The 23035-nt window shown below is 40.0% G+C and overlaps 1 protein-coding gene across 2 annotated transcripts in view; it reads left to right on the plus strand.

Annotated features, from left to right (window-relative positions):
• PTCHD1 (patched domain containing 1) overlaps positions 1-20126 on the plus strand; it is a 69979-nt gene extending 49853 nt beyond the window's left edge. For both annotated transcript variants that reach the window (XM_011545449.4, NM_173495.3), the window contains one exon: positions 8283-20126. In XM_011545449.4, coding sequence (XP_011543751.1) covers positions 8283-9937 — 1655 coding nt within the window. In that variant the 3' untranslated portion in view covers positions 9938-20126. The remainder of the gene's footprint in view (positions 1-8282) is intronic.
• Positions 20127-23035: the final 2909 nt, after the last annotated feature.

Consider the following 23035-nt stretch of genomic DNA (forward strand, 5'->3'; position numbering starts at 1 on the left):
TGCATTTATCAAGATACAAGAGCCCCAGAGATTTATGAGATAAAAAATACTCTTTAAGCCCTTTTTCAAATGTTTGGGATTTTGAGGTCAGATGTCAGATCCAGGGTGTTCTCTTCCTTTTGAATTATCCAACCAGGCCACTCAGATTCAAGGACGTGAAAGGAAGAAAGAATTAGTGGATTATTTCTAATTTGCGGATTAGTGCTAGGAAAAGAATAATAGCAGGGAAGTTTGGCTTCTTTTAGCTGTGCATTTTAACATTATTCATATGTAGCAGAAACCAGAAGATTGGGTTCCATTCTCCAAGAATTTGCTCTCATATGATGCCACTTGAAATATAATGCAGTATATGGAGCTCATAAAAAGGGAAGGAAAAAAAATTCTCATGCAAAACATTTAGTTCCAACTGAAACATTGAAATTCTTATTTTTTCTCTAAACTTAAGCAAACCTGAAAGAATTTGCTTTCCTGATGAGTATTCTGATACATTTCAAAAGTCATGAGAAAATGAGGGAAAAATCAGTCAGATAATAATAAAATTTAAACCATATGAAATTGCAAATATCCAACCATTTTTGGCCTACAAACTTGGTACCATTATCTGGTCATTTTTGAGCTACAAAAATGGTAATTTTGTGTGGTTCAGCCTAACACATTATTGTAGAAATCCATTATTTGCAACAATATGACAATTTTGCCTGATGGAGTAGAAGTATATTAGAATGCTATGGAAAGACTTTGCTTAGATATAAATCAGTAATAGGTTCAGCATGTTCTAGAGAAAACAACTGATTTATGAGGGTTTTGTTGTTCACATTTTTGTGTACATCTATTTTTTTAAAAGAGATCATTTATTTTACAGTATTTCCAAAGTTTGTCTCTCGAATATCGTTTTTTGTAATGGTCCATGGTCATTATGGGACTAATTTACAAGGAGATTATGTAATTTAGGCTTGTAATTCGTTCTTGCCCTTTTATTCTTATGCTCCACCAATCATATTAGGGTGAGAGTAGGTGGAAATAAATAGGTTTAGGGGAATGGAACAAAACAAGTTTTATTGTTCTATTTTTAACCATAAAGTAAGACAGGAACAGGACTTGGGGGCACAAGTCCAGGAAAGCAGAACTCAGTCAGAGGAATACAAAGGGGCTTTGTCTTTGACCCAGGATTCCCAGATATCCCCTGGGTGGTCTGTCTACCCGGTCGTGCCCAGGGAATGAGGGAGTGACAGACCCTGTAAAGGTTGGGCAGCAAGAGGCAACATCAGGACACTGAACTAAACATAGACCCTGGGGAGAAATACCTAGTATCTACATTTGGACTAAACTCTCAGAAAGTCACAGCTGGGCAGTCTTGACCAGATGGATATACAGAAGCTCACAACCGAAACAGGTTCACAGTTATTGTCAAGGAAACCCTGCATTTCACCAAGGCTACTTTATTACTCAAGAACCAAAATATAGACAGATGGAGCCCAACAGAGGGATTCTATAGCCCCTTCTCTACACTGATTGGTGTAGCAACACTAACATTATTTTGCCTCATCAGTAAAATAAATTTCACATCAGCCTACTATTCATCTTGTGTGTATGTGTGTCTTTATAGCCTATGTGCATAATATATATTATATATCACATTAGCTGTATTATATATCATATGCAATATGATATGTAGTAAGCTCATGTTATGTATTTATATGTATACAATGTGTTTATAACATATATTATGTAATATATATTGCTTGAATATTTAAATAGAAGCTATTCTCTGTGTATACTATCTGGTATATAGGAGTCCAACATTTTGTATGTAAATATATAAAATATATTTGAATAGGATATGCCATATATACATATGTTTATATATCACATTTGTATTCTATACGAAAAGAAATTAAGCAATGACCATAGCATATATTATGGGCCACATTTATACTTATACACACTGGTCTTATATAATGTACATACACACAATATCTAAATACTTTAAACAAGGAAGAGCTATAAGCAAATTCATTTCTAGGGCTCTCTTTTACAGCTATCTAGTGAAGAAAAATCATTCCTAAGACTAAAACCCAATGCTCTGGTTAGAATTTTCAAAATGTGACAAGTCTCTAGTACAAAGAATAAGATGTGTGTGTTCCCCCTGATGTGAGCATCTGTCTTTACTTAAACAGAGTACACCTTTATTCTTACTCTTAACTCTGAGACAAAACAGGCTGCAATAAACCAAACAATTCAGCTTGTAAAGTAAATGTTTATAACTGGCAAAGTGTAAATGTAACCCAATTAATAAACTTCTCCCTGAAAATAGATGTTACTCAACCCAGACATATATACACTTTAAATTTCTTCTCAAAAACACAAAAATCATGAATTTATGTGGATGACATTGAAAAACAGGCATCTTATAAACATGAGCTACTTAGTGAAGCTTTTCTAAGAATAAAATAGGCTTTAAGCAGATTTTGCTTATGGATTATAGTCTCTGAATTTTTGAGACGAATGTAGTAATTTTATTTCCATATATGAAATTTGGCACTGCCCAGGCATGCTATAAACAGCTTCATTGACTCATGATATTAAATGTTTTCACACTGAAACTGAAAGATCATCCATCAATCAGCAAGCCATCCCATTTCCTCCTTCTTAGCCATTCCTTACTTTGAGGAACTCAGGATGAGGAAATCCTGCTAGTGTGGAGAGGTTTAAAATGTGAGTAGCACCCAGCGGCATCTCTCAGCTGCTGTGTTGTGGCTATGTATACTGGGACAGGCGCGAAAATCTGGGACTGAAGAAAAATCTGACTTACAAAATCCAGAAGTATTATACAAAGTAGATCAATTTGCCTACGATTATTCATTGAAAACCAAACAACAACAAAAAAATCACCCAGACTGTCTCCAATAGCAAAACCACTAAATACATTTAAAATATTATTCACTTTATGAGCAACTTTCCAGAAGTATATCTACTGGGTAAAGAAAGGTTAACTCTCAACTATTTGTTAGTAGATTCTGTCTTACCGGATTATAAACAACCCTGAAGGCTTTGGTCAGGCCCCAGAAAGTTCTGGGTGACAGAATTAATCTCTGAGGGTGCTTGATAGTCACCCTCAGTGATGGGAGGATTAGCCAGTTGAATTTTTTTTTCCGCCATTAGTGTTATTTATCATGTGTGCTTCTTTTTCCCTTCATTTGCTCCAAAGTCTGAGAGTTAACAACACATTCAGATATAAAAATTCTTTTGAGAATAAGAAAAATTATTAGCCTAAATTCTTTAGTATTTTATTTTATTAGATGACAACCCCAAAGTGTACTGCAAATAAAATTAATAAAAGCAGTTTTCTTTTTAAAATCACACTCCCGGCCCAAATTTTGCCTCAACATTAGTGAAGAGCCCTGCTGGCCTGACAAAAACCTCGAGCTGCCTCAGAGTATTCACTCACGAATAATTAGAACTTGGCGCTCCCTTCAATCTCTCTCTCTCTCTTTCTCTTTATGTGTGTGTGTATGTGTTTTTACATACTGATATGCATTTGTTCTTATGCATGTAACAATACAGACATGCAGGGTAACAAAAATAGAAACAAACATCTTGAATATGCTTTTAAAGGACAAGAGAATGCTTTAGAAGCATTTTTATCTTCAAAATCTGATAGAATCAGTATGTGTTTAACAGTTCCCGTTGGCAACTCCTCAGTCCTGCACTGTGACTGTAAAAGAAGGAATCCCCTGGGATGTTGTATCATCCAGGGTAATCCTTGGAATGTGAGGATGTCAGGATGTGGAGGTTCCTGATATCCTCACTGTGATATATAGTCTTTTTACCCCAAGGTCTCAGGCTGCGACCTGGCCCTCAAATGATGAGTCATGACTCCCAATAACACCACAGGGTCCCTACTGACCAAAATCAAAATCTGTATTTAGGTAGCTCTGCCCTGGCCCCACCCCATGAGTTCTGTCACCAGGGAGTCCTTGTGAACAGACTTGGGACTTTGGAGATGGGAAATTGTTATTTGCCAAAGTCATGCTTTGTGCCAATGACATAGGCCCACTGGTCAGATTTAACAGAGAAGCTTATAGAACTCCTACTTTGTAGAGAAGTTTTTAAAACTAGAGTGCAAAGCAAACAGCAGTACTTTTGCTTTTAAAACACCTTTTTAAAAAGTAGGAAACAACAGTCAGACCTCTGAAAAGTATCTTCAGTCCACATGCAATATCTGTTTGCCTACGTCTGTAAGATTTGGCGTCAGAGTTCCGCTTGCTGAACTACAGCCCCAAAATTAGGAGAGTGGGTTGTGCGTGGTGGCTCATGCCTGTATAGAATCCCAGCACTTTGGGAGGCCGAGGCAGGCAGATCACCTGAGGTCAAGAGTTCAAGACCAGCCTGGCCAATACGGTGAAACCCCATCTCTACTAAAACTACAAAAATTACCTGGGCGTGGTGGCATGTGCCTGTAATCCCAGCTACCCAGGAGGCTGAGGCAGGGGAATCGCTGGAACCCGGGAGGCCGAGGCTGCAGCGAGCAGAGATTGTGCCACTGCACTCCAGCCTGGGAGACAGAGTGAGACTCCGTCTCGAAAAAAAAAAAAAGCAATGAATGATGATGATGCTAAAGGAGGTAGCCATCCACTGAAAGAGGAAAGTGGAGAGGAACAGAACCTACCAAAATCTATCTTCTCTGCCTCTCCTTGACTCCAGGTGGCCCAGTTTCTGGAGTGCTAGTAAAAGATAAGGTCAGACCTGACTGAAGGAAAAACTGAAGAAATTCGTCTCTGTGAAATTCTCCTACCTGCCATTTCCTCTTTATTCCATTCCCATGTCCATTCTCTGTCCCATTCCCCAGACCTAAGGGAAGCTGCTTCAGTAGACCACTGTCCCAGAGGAGTTTACATTTAAAAGGATACCCTTGAAAGTTCCAAGGGGAACTCGGATATAATTCCGGCATTCTGGAGGGCAGGATGGTCCTCGTGTCCTAGGGCTTTTGGAATGTGTCTCCCCTTGAATCCAGGCCAGAACACAAGAGTCCTCACCGATGGCCTTTCCTATAGGATAACAGGCCGACCTCTTCAGCAAAAATACCCAGCTATGAGCCAGGACAGCTGCCAGCCAGGCACTCCAGGCTGTTAATCCTTAAGAGGTGACCACAGCTATGTTAGCACTTGTCCCTCCCTTGACTGACAAACCTTCAGGAAGGAGGCCCAGTTATGGTATCAGCAATTGTCCCAGAAATCCAAAGGGCTCTTGTAAGATGCTGTAGAACTCCAGTTTGGGGATTCGGGTGTAGCAATCTGCTCGAGAGGTGTGGCTTGAGAAAGGAATCTGACCTATCAGGAATGGTGGTCGGGGCCTTTGGAGGCAAAGTCAGGCACAACTAGCAACAAATGCTGAGTGATCGGTTAGAACAAATTCTTTCTCAGGGCCTCTTCTGATTTCTGTGAGTGGCTGCATGTACACACCTGTAGCAAGAAGGAAGAACTAAGGAAAGGCATCGTTTCCAAAAGCCCCTCAGAAGAAAATTAGAATTCTCTTTGGAGCTGCCCCCAAACCAAGAACATATGCAAAAAGAGCCAGGACTCAAAATAAAAGATCAAACTATAGAAGGACAAGGCATTTAAAATGCAGCAACAGAACTCAAGAGAGAAGCTAACAGCCTACTTCCACCTTTCCTTGATTTTGATTACTTTCATTCTTGACCCTGGAGCCTCAGTCTTGTCACCTAATATCTCTGTTAATTCAAATTCCTTTTCTCAATTAGCTTCTAAGATTATTCAACAGCAAGGTATGAAATTGATTCTTATTGTATTTTCCAAAAATCAGGGTCAGATAATGTCATTATAAAACATCACACTGATTTTTAAAAGAACTGCAAAACAGATTTAAGTTCTATTATATGACTAATTCTAATTCCGCTATATGCTTTATTTTCTTGCCATATTTAATAACTCAGTACTAAAACCCTGTTTAAATTTTTTGTTTCTGGCAAGTAAATATCATTAAAAAATTATTTGCCATTTATAGTGATCCCCTGAAGTGTGCTTTGCCCACCAAAGCTTACTTGCTCTACATGGCCCCAGGAAAAAAAAAAAAAAAACAAAAAAAACAATATTATTTCTTCAGGGACAGTGCCTCAGAAGTATTCTCTTTTTACCCTCATTGTCAAGAGAATGGTTACTTAATTAAAGGTCAGTGGGTCCATCTTGAAAATATACTAGAAACAGATTTAATCATGTTCCCTCTCCAGACTAGATGTTAATACCTAAGCATAATTAACAACAGGATGCCAGTCAATGAGTGTACTTTTTACTTCATATCTGGGGAGTTTAGGTGCCTTCAATTTAATAGGGGCCTCGGTGCTAGTTAACAAATTGACAGTCTTGACCTGACTTCTAAAAGTGGCTGTAAAACGATGCCTAGTCAATTAAGATAAATGCCAAATTCCTCTGAGGAAACAGGCCTAAATCATTACTTTGAAATGGGCATTTCAGGTATGAGGCCAGGACTTCACAATAAGGATATAAATACTAGCTTGGGCATGAGGGAAGATGTACACCTAGCTATTGTACACACAAGATAACAGTGACTCACTTTATTCAGCATTATGCTTGGCTGGAGATTTTAAATTCCTTTTTAAATACAAGACTATTGTACCACAGGGTAAAGATTTTATTATCCTCAATAATGGGATTGAATATGCCAAGGCGATGGAAGCAGGAAATTAGATCTGCTGATCCCCATTGCCAAGACAGGAGTTATCGAAATCCACAACGGGTCACTTTGGTGAGCCTTCCAATGTTGCAGTGGCCTGGAAACACAGGGACTCGAAGTAGGGAAATGTCTGGCTCCAACTACGAGAGGTGGTAGAAGTCATGCTAGATCAGGTTCCAGGCAGCAGAATGGAGTTTAGAACATGAGCATTTACTGTACCTCTGCTATTTCAGTATTGCTGAAATACTAAACCAGGAGGCGAAGGCACTAAGCAGTTACGCAGCGGGGTTACTGATCTGGCTCTTTCCCACAGATGCCACTATCAAATAGCGCGGAGAAGCTAGCAGAGTCGCTGCTGACGTATTATATCACTGCTTGATAAGTCATGTATGAATAACCAAATTGGTCAAACAGATCCCTGAAGACAAATTGCAAGTCATAAACCTTCAACCTGAATCCTAATTTTTATCAATAACCAGGAGAGTTCATATTTATCTTATTTTTTCTGTATTTTCTTCACTGAAACTTCTTCACTCCTACTTATTTTGCTTCCCTCTTTCTAAGATTTATTGCTTCCTGCCCTGATATTTGGGGAGGGAAAACAGAGGGGGCTGTGATTTAGTTTCCTGTCAAGACTCAAATGAAATACACTGCCTCTTTATCACTAAAACCCTCTAGTTGGCAAATTTTAAATGAGGTGACAGGACATTAACTCAGAACCCTCTGCCCACTATCTTCCTCTGCACTGACCCCTAGCCAGACTTGTGGGGACGGAAAGCAAAATGATGAGTGTCCAGACATCTTCTCTTCTCTGGAGCGTTCCACCAACCAAACTGCACCAATAACTCTAAGCTATTAATGGGAAAAATCCCCAAGAGACATATGCACAAGTCTAATCAGCTTTTATTCTTTTTAGAGTCAGGGTCTTGCCCTGTTGCCCAGGCTGGAGTGCAGTGGCACAATCATGGCTCACTGCAGCCTCCAACTCCGAGGCTCAAGAGATCCACCTGCCTTAGCCTCCCAAGTAGCTGGGACTACAGATATGAGCCACTATTCCTGGCTAAGTTGTTTCATTTTCTTTCTTTTTTTTTCTTTCTTTTTTCTTTCTTTCTTTCTTTTTTTTTTTTTTTTTGAGAGATGAGGTCTCGCTACATTGCCCAGGCTGGTATCAAACTCCTGGTCTTAAGTCATCTTCCTTCCTCAGTCTCCCAAGTTGCTAGGATTACAGGCATGAGCCACCATGACTGGCTCTACTCAGCTTTCTATAGGCAAAAGTTCATCTAAGTGCTGTTTGTTTGGTGGAACACTCCAAAGAAGAGAACTTTCTTAAGCCAGAGGGAATATGAAGATCTTTGCTTCTCTAGCTGCCCTTTCGTTATCCATTAACATTTACGATTCATAAAAACATGGGTCTATCTCCGCATAGGAGAAATCATTGGCATTTACATACCCGTCACCACTAGGGTTGATTACGTTTCCTTTGACCCAGTAGTCCCTCATAATCAAGTTGATTTCCCTCTTAAGAGATTAGTTCTTTAAACTTCTGCTCTGGTCTTTTTCTGCCCTCTTAGGTCATGGATTATATGGGACTTTTGAAATGTTATCCTCCTGGAGGAAAACTAGAGAAGACCAACATGTTAAAGAGAGAACTGCAGCAGTCTATGCAGACTCCATGCTCTCCTTTTCTCTCACCACTGCCATGTACCTGGTCACCTTTGGCATAGGGGCCAGCCCTTTCACGAACATTGAGGCAGCCAGGATTTTCTGCTGCAATTCCTGTATTGCAATCTTCTTCAACTACCTCTATGTACTCTCGTTTTATGGTTCCAGCCTAGTGTTCACTGGCTACATAGAAAACAATTACCAGCATAGTATCTTCTGTAGAAAAGTCCCAAAGCCTGAGGCATTGCAGGAGAAGCCGGCATGGTACAGGTTTCTCCTGACGGCCAGATTCAGTGAGGACACAGCTGAAGGCGAGGAAGCGAACACTTACGAGAGTCACCTATTGGTATGTTTCCTCAAACGCTATTACTGTGACTGGATAACCAACACCTATGTCAAGCCTTTTGTAGTTCTCTTTTACCTTATTTATATTTCCTTTGCCTTAATGGGCTATCTGCAGGTCAGTGAAGGGTCAGACCTTAGTAACATTGTAGCAACCGCGACACAAACCATTGAGTACACTACTGCCCAGCAAAAGTACTTCAGCAACTACAGTCCTGTGATTGGGTTTTACATATATGAGTCTATAGAATACTGGAACACTAGTGTCCAAGAAGATGTTCTAGAATACACCAAGGGGTTTGTGCGGATATCCTGGTTTGAGAGCTATTTAAATTACCTTCGGAAACTCAATGTATCCACTGGCTTGCCTAAGAAAAATTTCACAGACATGTTGAGGAATTCCTTTCTGAAAGCCCCTCAATTTTCACATTTTCAAGAGGACATCATCTTCTCTAAAAAATACAATGATGAGGTCGATGTAGTGGCCTCCAGAATGTTTTTGGTGGCCAAGACCATGGAAACAAACAGAGAAGAACTCTATGATCTCTTGGAAACCCTGAGGAGACTTTCTGTCACCTCCAAGGTGAAGTTCATCGTCTTCAATCCGTCCTTTGTATACATGGATCGATATGCCTCCTCTCTGGGAGCCCCCCTGCACAACTCCTGCATCAGTGCTTTGTTCCTGCTCTTCTTCTCGGCATTCCTGGTGGCAGATTCACTGATTAACGTCTGGATCACTCTCACAGTTGTGTCCGTGGAGTTTGGAGTGATAGGTTTCATGACATTATGGAAAGTAGAACTGGACTGCATTTCTGTGCTATGCTTAATTTATGGAATTAATTACACAATTGACAATTGTGCTCCAATGTTATCCACATTTGTTCTGGGCAAGGATTTCACAAGAACTAAATGGGTAAAAAATGCCCTGGAAGTGCATGGGGTAGCTATTTTACAGAGTTACCTCTGCTATATTGTTGGTCTGATTCCTCTTGCAGCTGTGCCTTCAAATCTGACCTGTACACTGTTCAGGTGCTTGTTTTTAATAGCATTTGTCACCTTCTTTCACTGCTTTGCCATTTTACCTGTGATACTGACTTTCCTGCCACCCTCTAAGAAAAAAAGGAAAGAGAAGAAAAATCCTGAGAACCGGGAGGAAATTGAGTGTGTAGAAATGGTAGATATCGATAGTACCCGTGTGGTTGACCAAATTACAACAGTGTGATAATGTCTGCTTGGCATATTTTCACCTTAGGTCTTATCAAGACCAAAGAGATTATGTTAATGAAACAATTAAATTCAAAGTTCTTCCCTTTTTTAAAGATAGGAAACAGGCATTGCCAAAAAAAAAAAAAAAAAAAAAAGGAAAGGACAGTGGGGAGAAATGGGCCTGGCATATTTTCAGTCTTTAAAACAAAGGAGTTGTTATGAGAATTCACACACACATAGACACACACACACACACACACACACACACACACACACACACACCCTGGGAGACCTATAGTCTCTTAAACTAAGATCAAGTAGAAGAAAGCTTATTAACAAGCAGGATCCTGCCTTATCCAAACTGCAGATGTTGCTGGCATTGTGACAAAACCCACTGATTGAAAGGTCAACTGCCAAGGCAGAAACACCTTTAAGCATTGTTCAAACAATAAGGCTTCCAGAACTTCTGTAGAGCAGTAGCTCCAGTCATGGTCTGTGGTTTGAGGTTTTAGCTGTCTCACCTAGCTCCCTAACACTGAAGGAGATACTTGTGAAAGTTCTGACCAGCAAAAGCAAGCCAGAGCCTTGGAAACTGATATGTGGTAGAGTGGCCATCACTCATGGACTAAAATTGATTCACCGCTAAATTTACCCAGGTGAAGCAGTTTCGTTGTCTAGAATGAAATTATCATATTCCGCCATTGGTATGCCTTTAACATTTGTATAGTTTGGTTTGCTTAAAACACCTTAAAACCAATGACAGCTCCAGCACTGCAGAATTGGTGTGATTCTACTTTGGAATAGCTTGTCACTTGTCACCAAATGGGTCTGCTTTATTAGTTACAGCTCTTGGCAGGAGGATCCAGGGACCCAAAACCACAGGGCCAAACCCAAATACCTGGCATGATGGAGCAAAAGCAGGTGTCTACTTGGACCCAGATATAGTGTCTCCATTTTAACAACAACAACAAAATAGCCAGCTGGTACAGCTGTTTGCATTGGCCCTACATGCATTTTTTGCATGGATATCCAGAAACATCTGCCCACACAAAACTGCGGGGAAAAAAAATGAACACTGAAATAGTTATTTGCTGTTGCTTCCAACTTGTAGTGCCAGTCTGCCTTTGCTGTGAAACACACCTGCTCAGAGACAGAGAGGGGAAGAAGATCTTTGGTAAGTCTAAGTCCTGACGCTGAGAAGCTTTGTAAAAGTGCAGGGAGATAAAGGGCCAAAAGGGAGATAGATGGAAAACACTGGAAAAAGTATTCACTGATACAAATCTATCAATGATGGCAGTCCAATTCTCTTGCTAAAGTGGCTGCACCTCACCTTGCTGGTCCCCCCCACACCTTTTTTGATGTCCTTCTGCGTCATCATAGCAAGGCCCTTCTGTAAATTAACAAGCCTAGATATTTATACTCTTGACTTCCAGTATCTACAGAAGAATGGTTCATAGATCTAAACAGAAATGGTTTAGATCTAAAAAGGCTGTATACGTTGCCCAGGCCCCTGCATTTCTTTAAATTTATAAAAATGAAGCTAAAACCTGGTTACATTTGAAGCAAATATCTACAGTATTTTTCCCTTTTAGAGATGTAGCTTCCTTAGACATCTGTAGTGGTAAGCATTTCCCAAAAGCATCTTACCTTTCTGAACCTTAGCAGACATACTGTGCAGCTTACCTATCTTCTGCAGAGGAGGAAACTGAGACCTAGGAGAATAAAGTGACTCACTCAGGTCACACCACTAAAGGGTTTTCATCATTTCAGCATACCTAAGACAGGGCAGTCCAATTTTCAGTATTCTCATAAGATGGCTATTACTCCTCTCAAAATGCATTTCCAAAGTAGGAACATAGGACTTCGTTGGCCACAGGGCAGACATTTTTTTAGTGTCTGGAATTAAAATGTTTGAGGTTTAGGTTTGCCATTGTCTTTCCAAAAGGCCAAATAATTCAGATGTAACCACACCAAGTGCAAACCTGTGCTTTCTATTTCACGTACTGTTGTCCATACAGTTCTAAATACATGTGCAGGGGATTGTAGCTAATGCATTACACAGTCGTTCAGTCTTCTCTGCAGACACACTAAGTGATCATACCAACGTGTTATACACTCAACTAGAAGATAATAAGCTTTAATCTGAGGGCAAGTACAGTCCTGACAAAAGGGCAAGTTTGCATAATAGATCTTCGATCAATTCTCTCTCCAAGGGGCCCGCAACTAGGCTATTATTCATAAAACACAACTGAAGAGGGGATTGGTTTTACTGTTAAATCATGTGTTGCTAAATCATTTTCTGAACAGTGTGTTCTAAATCAGTCATTGATTTAGTGTCAGCCACGTGGAGCACCTCGGCTTAAAGCAGCTCCACAAAACCTGACACAACACACACACCAATTAAATGGATTTTGTTGAGAATTTAATCATTCAATTTGGTCAACCAGAATGACTTCCTGTGGAACTCTGTTTTATGACAGATAATAGTTTTCCAACTTGATTGAGTCTCTGTATACCCTGGGATATTGTATTTTTTAATGAAGGGCATTTTCAAACTTGTCAACTTCTCTTTTCAGCACTTGAAATGAAGGCTTATGGAATTCTGACTGTGAAATGAATTTTTCTATTGGGAGATTATGCATGCCAAGATTTATTATTTATTGTTAGATAATTATTATTTATTTGTTAATACTGATTATTGATTATTGCTCTGCTGCATTGGTTTAGCCCCGCTATGGAGAAGACACTTTAGAAGTAACTCAGAATCACATCCCCATAAAATCTAAGTCTTTACTTCATCAAGTTTTACTTTTTGAATTGCTATAAAGACGGAAAAATTGATCCCTGCAAACACTTGAAGAAGCTGTGTTTTTTTTCTTTCAATTAATTCCAACCAAGACATTAACGTCCACTTTACCAAAGAAACTTACTTGGTTGGTTTTTAGTTGGTGTTTGTTGTTTGTTTACCAAAGAAAATATTCGATTCATCAAAAATATTGCTCCTGGTCAACTAAAAAACTGTGATACTGGGACTTTTTTGGCCATTCATAAGGAAAATTTTTAAAAGTCAAGGTAAGGGTGATATTCTCTCATTTAGTGGAAGAAGAAGATGTCAATTCACAGGGAATGTGGTGTTCGCAAGAAAGAAAATGATACTTGAAATAGGGCATTATTGTTTAGCCTACAGCAACATTTCAACAAGCAGCATCAGGGCTCCTCAGGTTAAAAGAAGTACAGTTTGTTTCAGAGAAAAAGGAAGACAAACCCTCGTGAAATGTTTCTCCATTGTTCCAGCTCATAAGTTTTACTTTGTTTTGGGTTTTGGAGTTTTTAGTTTCTTTGATGTTTGTTTTGCTTTAATTTGGTTTGTGGTTTGTGTTTGCTTGTGTTTGCTTCTGCCTTTCCTACCTTCTGCCTTTTACTCCCTCAGTTTTCAGTCAGAAGTGTGATAATCAGATGCCATCCTCCATGGCCACGCTTATGTATGCAATATACCGCTCCAAATGAGGACCTTGGTAACCCTTGACCCTTTAATTCTAACTAACCATCACCCAATCGTAAGTGGCATTATGGGACCATGATACCACTTTTCTCCAGTGTCAATGACAGAGCTCAGCTGTGTCCATCACAAGAAAAGGTGGAATGGGCAGCTGTCTTGGGGGTGTGGCAAGAGGCAGAACCTCTTGGACACAAATGTTATCTTCCTCATAATGGCTTTATTCTTTTGGATCCTATTAAAGTACCCCTGTAGCTTATAGTAGTGTTTGACCTCTGTGACTCTGTTTTCTCATCTGTAAAATGGGGATAATATCAGTAAATGTCTTTAAATTCAGCAAATACTTATCGAGTGCCAAATATCGCCCAGATACTGTTCGAGAGGCTGGGGACACAACAGTCAACAAATCAGATTTTTTAAAATCTGCTCTTGTAGAGTCTACCTTTGAGTGACATTGCAGGTATATTGTGGGGATTGAATGAGATGAGAGATGACATTTGGAAAGCACTCTTGGAAAGGCCTGGCAAAGAAAAGAGACTCAAGACATTATTTGTAATTCAGCAATCTCGCACAGTAGCATTAGGGCTCGGGATGTAAAGCTACTGAGAAGTAGATTTGAGCCTGAGAATTAGGGCTACAAATACAATGAGTTGCCACAGAAGGTAGTTAATTACCAGTCATTTTAGGACATCAAAATGAAGCTGATCACCACATAGTGGGGCCACTGTAAAGGGGCTGCAAGTCCTGGATGTTGGCATCATACTATGATCTTTGAAAAAAACAGATACAGGCACTTGCTTTTGGGGATGGGGAAGGGACACCACTGATTACTGAATAACTGTGGCTGGCTTGTCTGAGGGAATGTAAACATTCCCTTGAGGTAATTTGCTTTTAATTTTGTGTAAAAAGCACCAGGTATTTAGAGACATAAAGTTCCCGTTTTTTAAAAGAATAGTAAATCTGCAATACAAAGAAAAATATTAAGTTAGTGGATTCGCTGGCAAAGAACTAAGAATGGCTGCAGCCAACACACTGCAGAGTTCCTCCCTGTGGTGGTTACAACTGTTATTTCTGTTTCATGCCAGTCCAGGAGAAAGCAAAGAGGAAAGTGGATGAGCTATAATCCGTTCACCTGAATAGGCAGTGCCAGGATGTCCCCCCCAGCTTGCCTCTCACCCGCCCCGCTGCTGCCCAGCTGATTTGTTTGAAGTCCTCTTTGATATCTATGAGAGCACCGTGGAAGGAAGAAGAAGGGAGGCGACCGGAGAGCTATGGCCTCTGTGCAGATTTTTGAGTTAGATTAAAATTAGTACCACCTGATTAGGAGCCTACCTGGTGAGGAAAAAAGCCTTCTTTTCAAAGTACAAAAAAAAGCGATGTGTACCAAGGAGAAAACCAGCAGAGAAAGCTTGGTGGAAGAAGTGATGTTCTTGTGGAATGTGCCAGCAGCTTCTCCTTCCAGAATGCTGACACCAGATGAATCTTTGGTTAGAATTAAGCCTACCCCTTTGTTTTTCACATGAGAAAACTGAACCCTCGAGTAATGAAATTATATTCACAGAGCTAATTAGAAACAGGAGACTATAATTGAAATCTAGTTTTTAGCCTCAATTCTTTCTCCATTTTGCCACTTTACTGCCAAATTCTATTCATCTAAATTATTGGGGTCTTAACCTGGGGGCCAAATGAGTTCATGGGAGGGGTCTCTGAGTTTCCTACAATTAAGTTACATGCAAAAATGTGTGTATATGTTCAACATGTGCATTTTCCTAAACTGAGGGCTCAGATTCCAAAAGAGGTCTATGACCGAAAAAGGGTGAAGAACCACTGTCCTAAATTAATACAGACCTCATTGGGAGTGTGATCCTGGTGTCCTCATTTTGGCTAATGAGCAATCAAGAACTTTTGAACTATCTTTTCTCTAAGGATCCAAAAATGCTTCAAAATATTGGTTTCTTCATCCCAAGCCAAGTGCCTACTTCTATTCATTTATTCTTCATTCATTCTTTCATTCATTCATTTCTTTATTCTGCAAATGTATTTTCAGTGCCAATTCATGTTCTAGCAGCAGCTAAATATGCCCTCCACAGCAGGACCAGGAAAGGAGCCCTCTGTACTGTGCTCTTGTTGGCAAGAGGAACACCAGGTTGCTACCACATTCTCACTGTTGCAACAAATTATATATAGCCTCAAATTTTCAGTAACCATCCCACACACACATACACACATAAAGGCAGCAGCCAACAAAGCCAACATATAGAAGTGTGCCCTGTCAAAGAACCAGGAAGAGCAGCCTATTTCCAGGTTATATACAGTGATATGCTGTTTACAACTGCATACCACATCCTTAGAAGGCCTGCTCCCAAATGAGCCCTACTCTGAGATGTCTACACCAGGCATGCTTTCACACACGTGCAGTACCCTACTCTCAAAACAAGTATGGAGAGAATAAGTCTCATTCATCTCGTTAATATTTTTAGTGGGCAAAGAAGCAACCGTGGCCATGGACAGATGGGTGCATTTAAGGACAGGTGTGGCCGGGCACAGTGGCTCAAGCCTGTAATCCCAGCACTTTGGGAGGCGGAGGCGGGCAGATCACGAGGTTAAGAGATTGAGACCATCCTGGCCAGCATGGTGAAACCCCGCCTCTACTAAAAAATACAAAAAAATTAGCTGGGCGTGGTGGCACGTGCCTGTAGTCCCAGCTACTCAGGAGGCAGGAGAATCCCTTGAACCCGGGAGGTAGAAGTTGCAGTGAGCCGAGATTTCACCACTGCCCTCCAGACTGGCAACAGAGTGAGACTTCGTCTCAAAAAAATAAAGGACAAGTGTGTTTTATACACAAATATGCAGAAGCCCAGTTCTCTTGACTCCAAGTCAGAAGCTAGATAAAATAGAGGTTGCTGGGGGAAGTTGGAAAATAAATGACTATACTGTACTTGTTGGCTCTGCTGCTGCTGATATAACTTCAGGCACAACGGAAGCCGCCTCGGTTGGCCTATGGGAAGGGCTGGGTGAATCACTGCTTGGCCTTGCATGAAGCACAAAGGACACACCAATGGCTGATCAGTGGCCCTTCCATCATCTTCTGCCCAGCCATGATAAGGAAAGCCTTCTATTGAGATGGAGGAATATTAGCTCAACTTTGTAGCATCTGATGTAAAGTTTGAGGGGTTTGTCTTTTTTGTTTGTTTGTTTGTTTTTTTTTGAGATGGAGTCTCACTCTGTCACCCAGGCTGGAGTGCAGTGGCGCCATCTCAGCTCACTGCAAGCTCCACCTCCCAGGTTCACGACATTCTCCTGCCTCAGCCTCCTGAGTAGCTGGGACTACAGGTGCCCGCCACCGCGCCCGGCTAATTGTGTGTGTGTGTGTGTGTGTGTGTGTGTGTGTGTTTAGTAGAGATGGGGTTTCACCGTGTTACCCATGATAGTCTCGATCTCCTAACCTCGTGATCCACCCGCCTCGGCCTCCCAAAGTGCTGGGATTACAGGCGTGAGCCACCGTGCCCGGCAAGGGCTTTGTTCATTAGGATCAACAAAGTGCTTTGTCTAATTCCTGCAAAATGGCAAAGACCCAGCCCATTTCCATTACTCATTCCAGGCTCATGCTCAGGAAAACTAATAACGTTCTCTTTGACAAAACAATTTCCTTAATTTTCTAGGATGAATCTTGAACATGTTTAGCTCAGCCTTTCAGATATTTATTCTTTAAATTACCATCCTGTCAAAATTGCCTTTACGCACTGATCCAGAATCACCAAGGCAGTTGCCACGATGCCTCCCAGGACTGTGGGTGACTGGGCAAACTGGTAATGACCCGTTGGCTCTGCTTCACACACACACATACACATTGACACACATAAATGTACACATGCATATATGTGTGTACAACACAACTATAAAACATAGAAACATATACCTGTACATATGCACATGCTTACATACACACATATCACAGATGTGCATGCACACATACACATGCACACCACCTTTTACAATATGCCTGACACATTTGAGGCACATTAAAATGCCTTGGCAGGCCCAGCCCTATAGTTCTGTAAGGTTTGGCAGGCCAAAGGCTTCGGATGTCTGCAGGATACCATTGAAAAAATGTTATCTTCCCCTTCTATATGTTTCTTATGCACGAGCACAGCTAAGAGCAGCCAAATAGTAAGCTTTAAAGAAAAGAAACCTGGAAAAGTGAATGTGCCTTGCAATTTAAAAATTGCTAACAGTTTCACAGTGGGAAAATTGCATTTGTTGGAATTTTCCAAGTCATAAGCAAGAAGAATAGCATAGACCCAAAACGACAGAGATCTCTTCCAAGGTATGGAATTGTGGAAATTTATTTAGAATATTTGCTTGGTGATCCAGAGAAGGGGGAAAGAAGTGGTGAGGAAGAATATATGGGGTGATCCCTCCAAATTGCCAACTCCTCGTCTTAGGAAGAAGTGGGCAGTTTCCATTGATCCCTAGCATCAGTTTGACGGGAAAACCGGTGCATTTCATCAACCTCAAGGAAAGGAAGTGCCATGCATGGAGGCCTGGTGATAGGCAACATCCATTTAGAAGAACAGTCACACAAGCAACAGAAGAACTATCCAAGACTAGAAGCTTAGAAGCTTATACCAAACTCTCTGTCTCTCTCTCTCTCTCTCACACACACACACACAGAGTGGATGGGAGGGGACATTAAGAGGAACCCTAGTGCAGTTCCCCCAAAAAACCTTGGCATAGAGTATAACAGGGAAAAAGTAATTACTGGGAAGCTGAAAACAATCAAATATGTGAGGAATGACTGAATATGAGCTGAGGATAATGTAAATTGTTCTGGATTGTCTATAAGATAAAGATACAGAGCCTGAATCTATGTTTTTCTGAATAAAGAGACCCCATATTCTCTTTTGAATTATTGACCTATAATTCCTCTTCAGCAGCTTTGAATACACTCAAGTTCTCTTCCTATTGTTTATGATCCCATAATACAACCACCCACTATTTGTTGTGGTTTACAATCCAGCTTAGAACCCTTGAGCAAAATTATTGAATTATTGAATGCTAGGCCCAAACAAAAGAAATTTCAGCTTGGTTTTAGTAATTTCTTGATCAAACTTCTCTCATTCCTCTAAATGTACAAAGGTTTCAAAGTTGTAAAAAATATGTCTACATAGCCAATGCTCTTAGTATTTTTAACAGCAAAGATAATCTCTGCCAATAATTATTAATGACAAAATAGTGATAACTGTTCAATGTTGCTTTAACAGTCCAATTGTAGTAGGTGAGAAAACAAAAAAGAAGAGAAGCTATGTTGAATATTTAGTAATGTTGGAAAAGATCCTCACCCTAGACATAAAATAGTTTAAACATTTAAACATGGCCCCTCTCTTATTGTCATTGCTAGTGAAAGAAGTTCCTGAAATTGCATATTACATTGTAAAGTTTTGGGCTAAATCACAATACATTTTTAAGTTGCTTCCATGGCAATAGATCGTAAGACCACAGCTTGTCAAAGTAACCACTAATTCAGTATTCAGAAACCTTATCATCTGTTCCTCCAAAAAGACCCCATAGTTAATGTTGTGTTTCCCAGTATTTTAGTTGGGTTTCTTCACACTTAGGCAAGTGGGTGATTCTGGTCATAATAAACTATTTTCAAACTAGGAAAAAGTATCCAAATGCTAGAGCACATAATGAGTTCAGCTTGGTCAGTTTTGAGACAGATAAGCATAAAACCCTACTAGAAAAAAATAATAGTCAAACCTAAAGCTTTAAAAAATGTGAGTCACATCACTTTTCTCCAGGAAAGGCAGAACGTGCTCAGGGTGGAATTTAATCAAAAATGTACCCAGAACAATTTCCCACAAAGAGCTGTAATACTTTGCAGCAAGGGGCATTAATAAACTCTAATTTTTACCGAAAGTCAAGAGACACACAGATCTTTTTTGGTACCCTCTACATCATCATAGCAAGGCCCTTCTGAACATTAACAAGCCTAGATGTTTCTACTGCTTATTTGCAGTATCTACAGGGGAATGGTTCGTGGATATAAACAGAAATGTTTTATCTGAAGAGGCTGTGTATGCCACCCCAGACCCCTGCATTTCTTAATATCTATAAAAATATGACTAAACTTGTTACATTTGAGGCAAATATGTACAGTATTTTTCCCTTTTAAAGATAGTTTAAAAAATCAAGGTAATAAAAAACGGCCAACTCTTTCAGGAAAAAAAAAATCCGGTATTTTGTACTACTTGAGTTTCTCTAATGCCTAAAATATGCATTTAAATCATCCCACACCTACACAGAAACAAAATCAGCAGGGAAAACCATCCCACTGATGATTGGCAATTCCACCGTTCCTCTCCATCTGACCAGCTTTCACCAGAGGGCGATCTTTCATGCTTGCACATCGAGTTTATACAATGTAGAAGCCCCCAAGTCACCTGGGAAATGGCTCATGCCAAATACATGGAGTCCTTAGTTGACTATCTTTTCATATTAAAATCCCATCTTCCAATGAAGCATCCTGTTTTCAATACTGATATCAAATTTCGAATGTAAAGGAGATTTCAAATGTATTGCTTTCACCTTTTCTTTTTTATTCATTTATTTTTAATTGACATAAAAATTGTATATATTTATGGGATACAATGTGATGTTTTGATATATGTATGCATTGTGGAATGATTAAATCAAGCTAATTAACATATCTATCATCTCACATATTTCTCTTTTTGCTTTCACTTTTTCGGGTTTATTTCTAATCCTCTACTAAGCACACAACAAAGAGTCAAATGTCGGTGGGCCAGGGGAATATCTCCAGTTTGATTTTTTTGGGGGGGGGGGACAGAGTCTCACTCTGTCACCCAGGCTGGGGTGCAATGGCGTGATCTTGGCTCACTGCAACCTCTGTCTCCTGGGTTCAAGCGATTCTCCTGCCTCAGCCTCCCAAGCAGCTGGATTTACAGATGTGCACCACGCCCAGCTAATTTTGTATTGTTAGTAGAGACGGGGTTTCACCATGTTGACCAGGCTGGTTTTGAACTCCTGACCTCAAGTGATTCACCCGCCTCGGTCTCCCAAAGTGCTGGGATTACAGGTATGAGCCACCGCGCCTGGCCTTTTCTTTCTTTTTTATGTCCAGGTATTTCATTTCTCTTTAAGAGTAATTAGTATGGGTTCTTCAGTGTTGTTTATGTTTTGTTTTGTTTATACCAGATTAGCAATCAAAAAAAAAGTGTATATGACTCAATATCCTACAGGCAGAGGTTTGGGGTTTTTTTTGTGTTTGCTTGCTTGTGTATTTCTTTAGCAGCAGATGTCTTTTTATAAAACCTTGTATATGGTGCCTTCTTTGGCTTAACAGTCACAATGGTACACCTCTGTCTCTGAAGTAAGAAAAGAAAAACCAGTTCCTGGCCTTAGTTTAATATATAATCACAAATGGGGAAATAAAATTGTAGTGGGAAGCACCCTATATGCCTGCATGCCTGGGCTTACAAGAAGTCAGCAGAAGCCTAATAAAAAATATAAGCTTGGCCTCTTCTTTCTGTAGAATTCTGGTTTTCCCTGGGTATTTAGGGTTGGGAAGAGGAAATGTTGGGTGTATTAGTTATAGGTCATCACCTGTATGGAGAGAAAGGGGAGAAACCTAGGAGGAAAGTAACAAAGCAGTATATATACATGGGGTGTCAAAACAATTGTCGGGAGTTGCTAGGTTAGTGTTCTTTTTTAGTTCATTTCACAGGACTAAATAAATGGATGAGTGATTATCACTGTCACAAAAGAAAGTTTGAATCTAAAATTATATGTTACAGGTACCAAATTACAATATCATAATGTAAAGAACTGGGATTATTTCAGATTTTGTTTCAATAGTGCTGAGCTGGAACCCAGCAGCTGGGAACAGCTAAAGGAGAAGTAGCACTCACTCCTGTCTGCTAAAGTCCTTATTTAGCCCATTTCCATGGAAACTGAAATCAGATCTCTCTCTCTCTCTCTAACACACACACACACACACACACACACACACACACACACACACACACACACGCTGGCGGGTGAATGTCTAGAGTGTGTGTGTGTGTGTGTGTGTGTGTGTGTGTGTGTGTGTAAACATACACAGGATAATTTCTCCGTGAACATTCTCTCATCAGAGGTAACTCTCCAACAAATGGAAGAAGGGTCAGCAATCCAGGCTGACTTCCTTTTTTAGAAGCCAAACCTGTAATGCAGATGAAAAAATCGGGTTAGAAAAGTAAATATATCACACCAGGCCTTTGCTACCAATTCCTTGGGGCATTCCATTTCGTAACTGCATATTCAATTAATTTAGCTAACTTGGAAATATTTTATGGTGAGCAGACAGCCACTGAAACTAAATTTAATCCCTTGGATTTTTGCCCACTTTGCTTTACTCTGAAGCATTGACATTTCCCTATATAGCCCGGAAAATAAAGGCTAAGGGAAAAGAGAAAGTGAATGAATTTATTTTAATTTTTCAACATATACTTTGTTAAGTTTCTATCCTAATGGAAAAATGATAGGTGCATATTCCAGATTTCTGGGGACATTTTATAATAAATGATTCCATCTTAGTCCACATCTCCCTTGAAGACAGGCCAACGCTCAAGTTGCTGCCTATAAAAGGGTACTGATAAAACCTCCCCATAAGGGTGGAAGAAGAATGAATACTGTTCCTTTCAATGAGGTCACCAGGCAACCTGGATGACTTCTATACATGGAAAATTTTCGATAGGCGAAAATATTTTACTTCCCATTTCTGTCCTTTTTTTCTATGAGGAAAGATAAAAATAGGATTTCTTTTTAAAGAATTTTCACTTTAAAATGGACTGTAGATGATGATTTTGGATCTTAAATTAGGTTATTTTACCATCCCCTTTGCAAAATTGGTGAGTGTTGCAGCTCATAAAATATTTAGCTTTTGCTGGAATCTAAAATGGGATGAAAAGCTGTATGTTTCAGCTGGCATAGATCAACAGGACAATAGGGCTTGATCTTAAACATAAGTGGCTTATTTTATTTTATTTTAGAGACAGAATTTCGTTCTGTTGCCCAGGCTGGGGTGCAGTGGTGCAGTCATGTAGCCTCGAACTCTTGGGCTTAAGCAATCATCTTGCCTCAGCCTCCTGAGTGACTAGGACTATGGGCACACACCCCCATGCCTGGCTAATTTCTTTTTTAATTTCTTGTAGAGATGGGAGTGTCCCTATGTTTCCCAGGCTAGCCTCAAGTTCCTGGCCTCAAGATGATCCTCCTGCCTCAGCCTCCCAAAGTTCTGGAATTACAGGTGTGAGCCACCACACACAGCCCATAGGAGATATTTAAAAAAAAAAAAACCTCAATATAGCATATTCTCATTTGTGCCTCATACTTGAATAGGCAGACTTGTGAAAGAATGAGGGTGTTGATAGTCTATATTCAAAACTAGGGTGGGGGAAGCAATTGTTATATTTTATAAAATTTAAATATTTTTAGAATTAGAAAATTGACGAAGGGCTAAAGTCTATTCAAAACCACCATGGGGAGCAATGATTTTACTTTATAAAATGGAAGAGTCATTTCTTAGAATAAAAAATAATTAACAGTAAAGAGTGA

This window comes from Homo sapiens, chromosome X (genome assembly GCF_000001405.40).
Source record: "Homo sapiens chromosome X, GRCh38.p14 Primary Assembly".
NCBI classification, from domain to species: domain Eukaryota; kingdom Metazoa; phylum Chordata; class Mammalia; order Primates; family Hominidae; genus Homo; species Homo sapiens.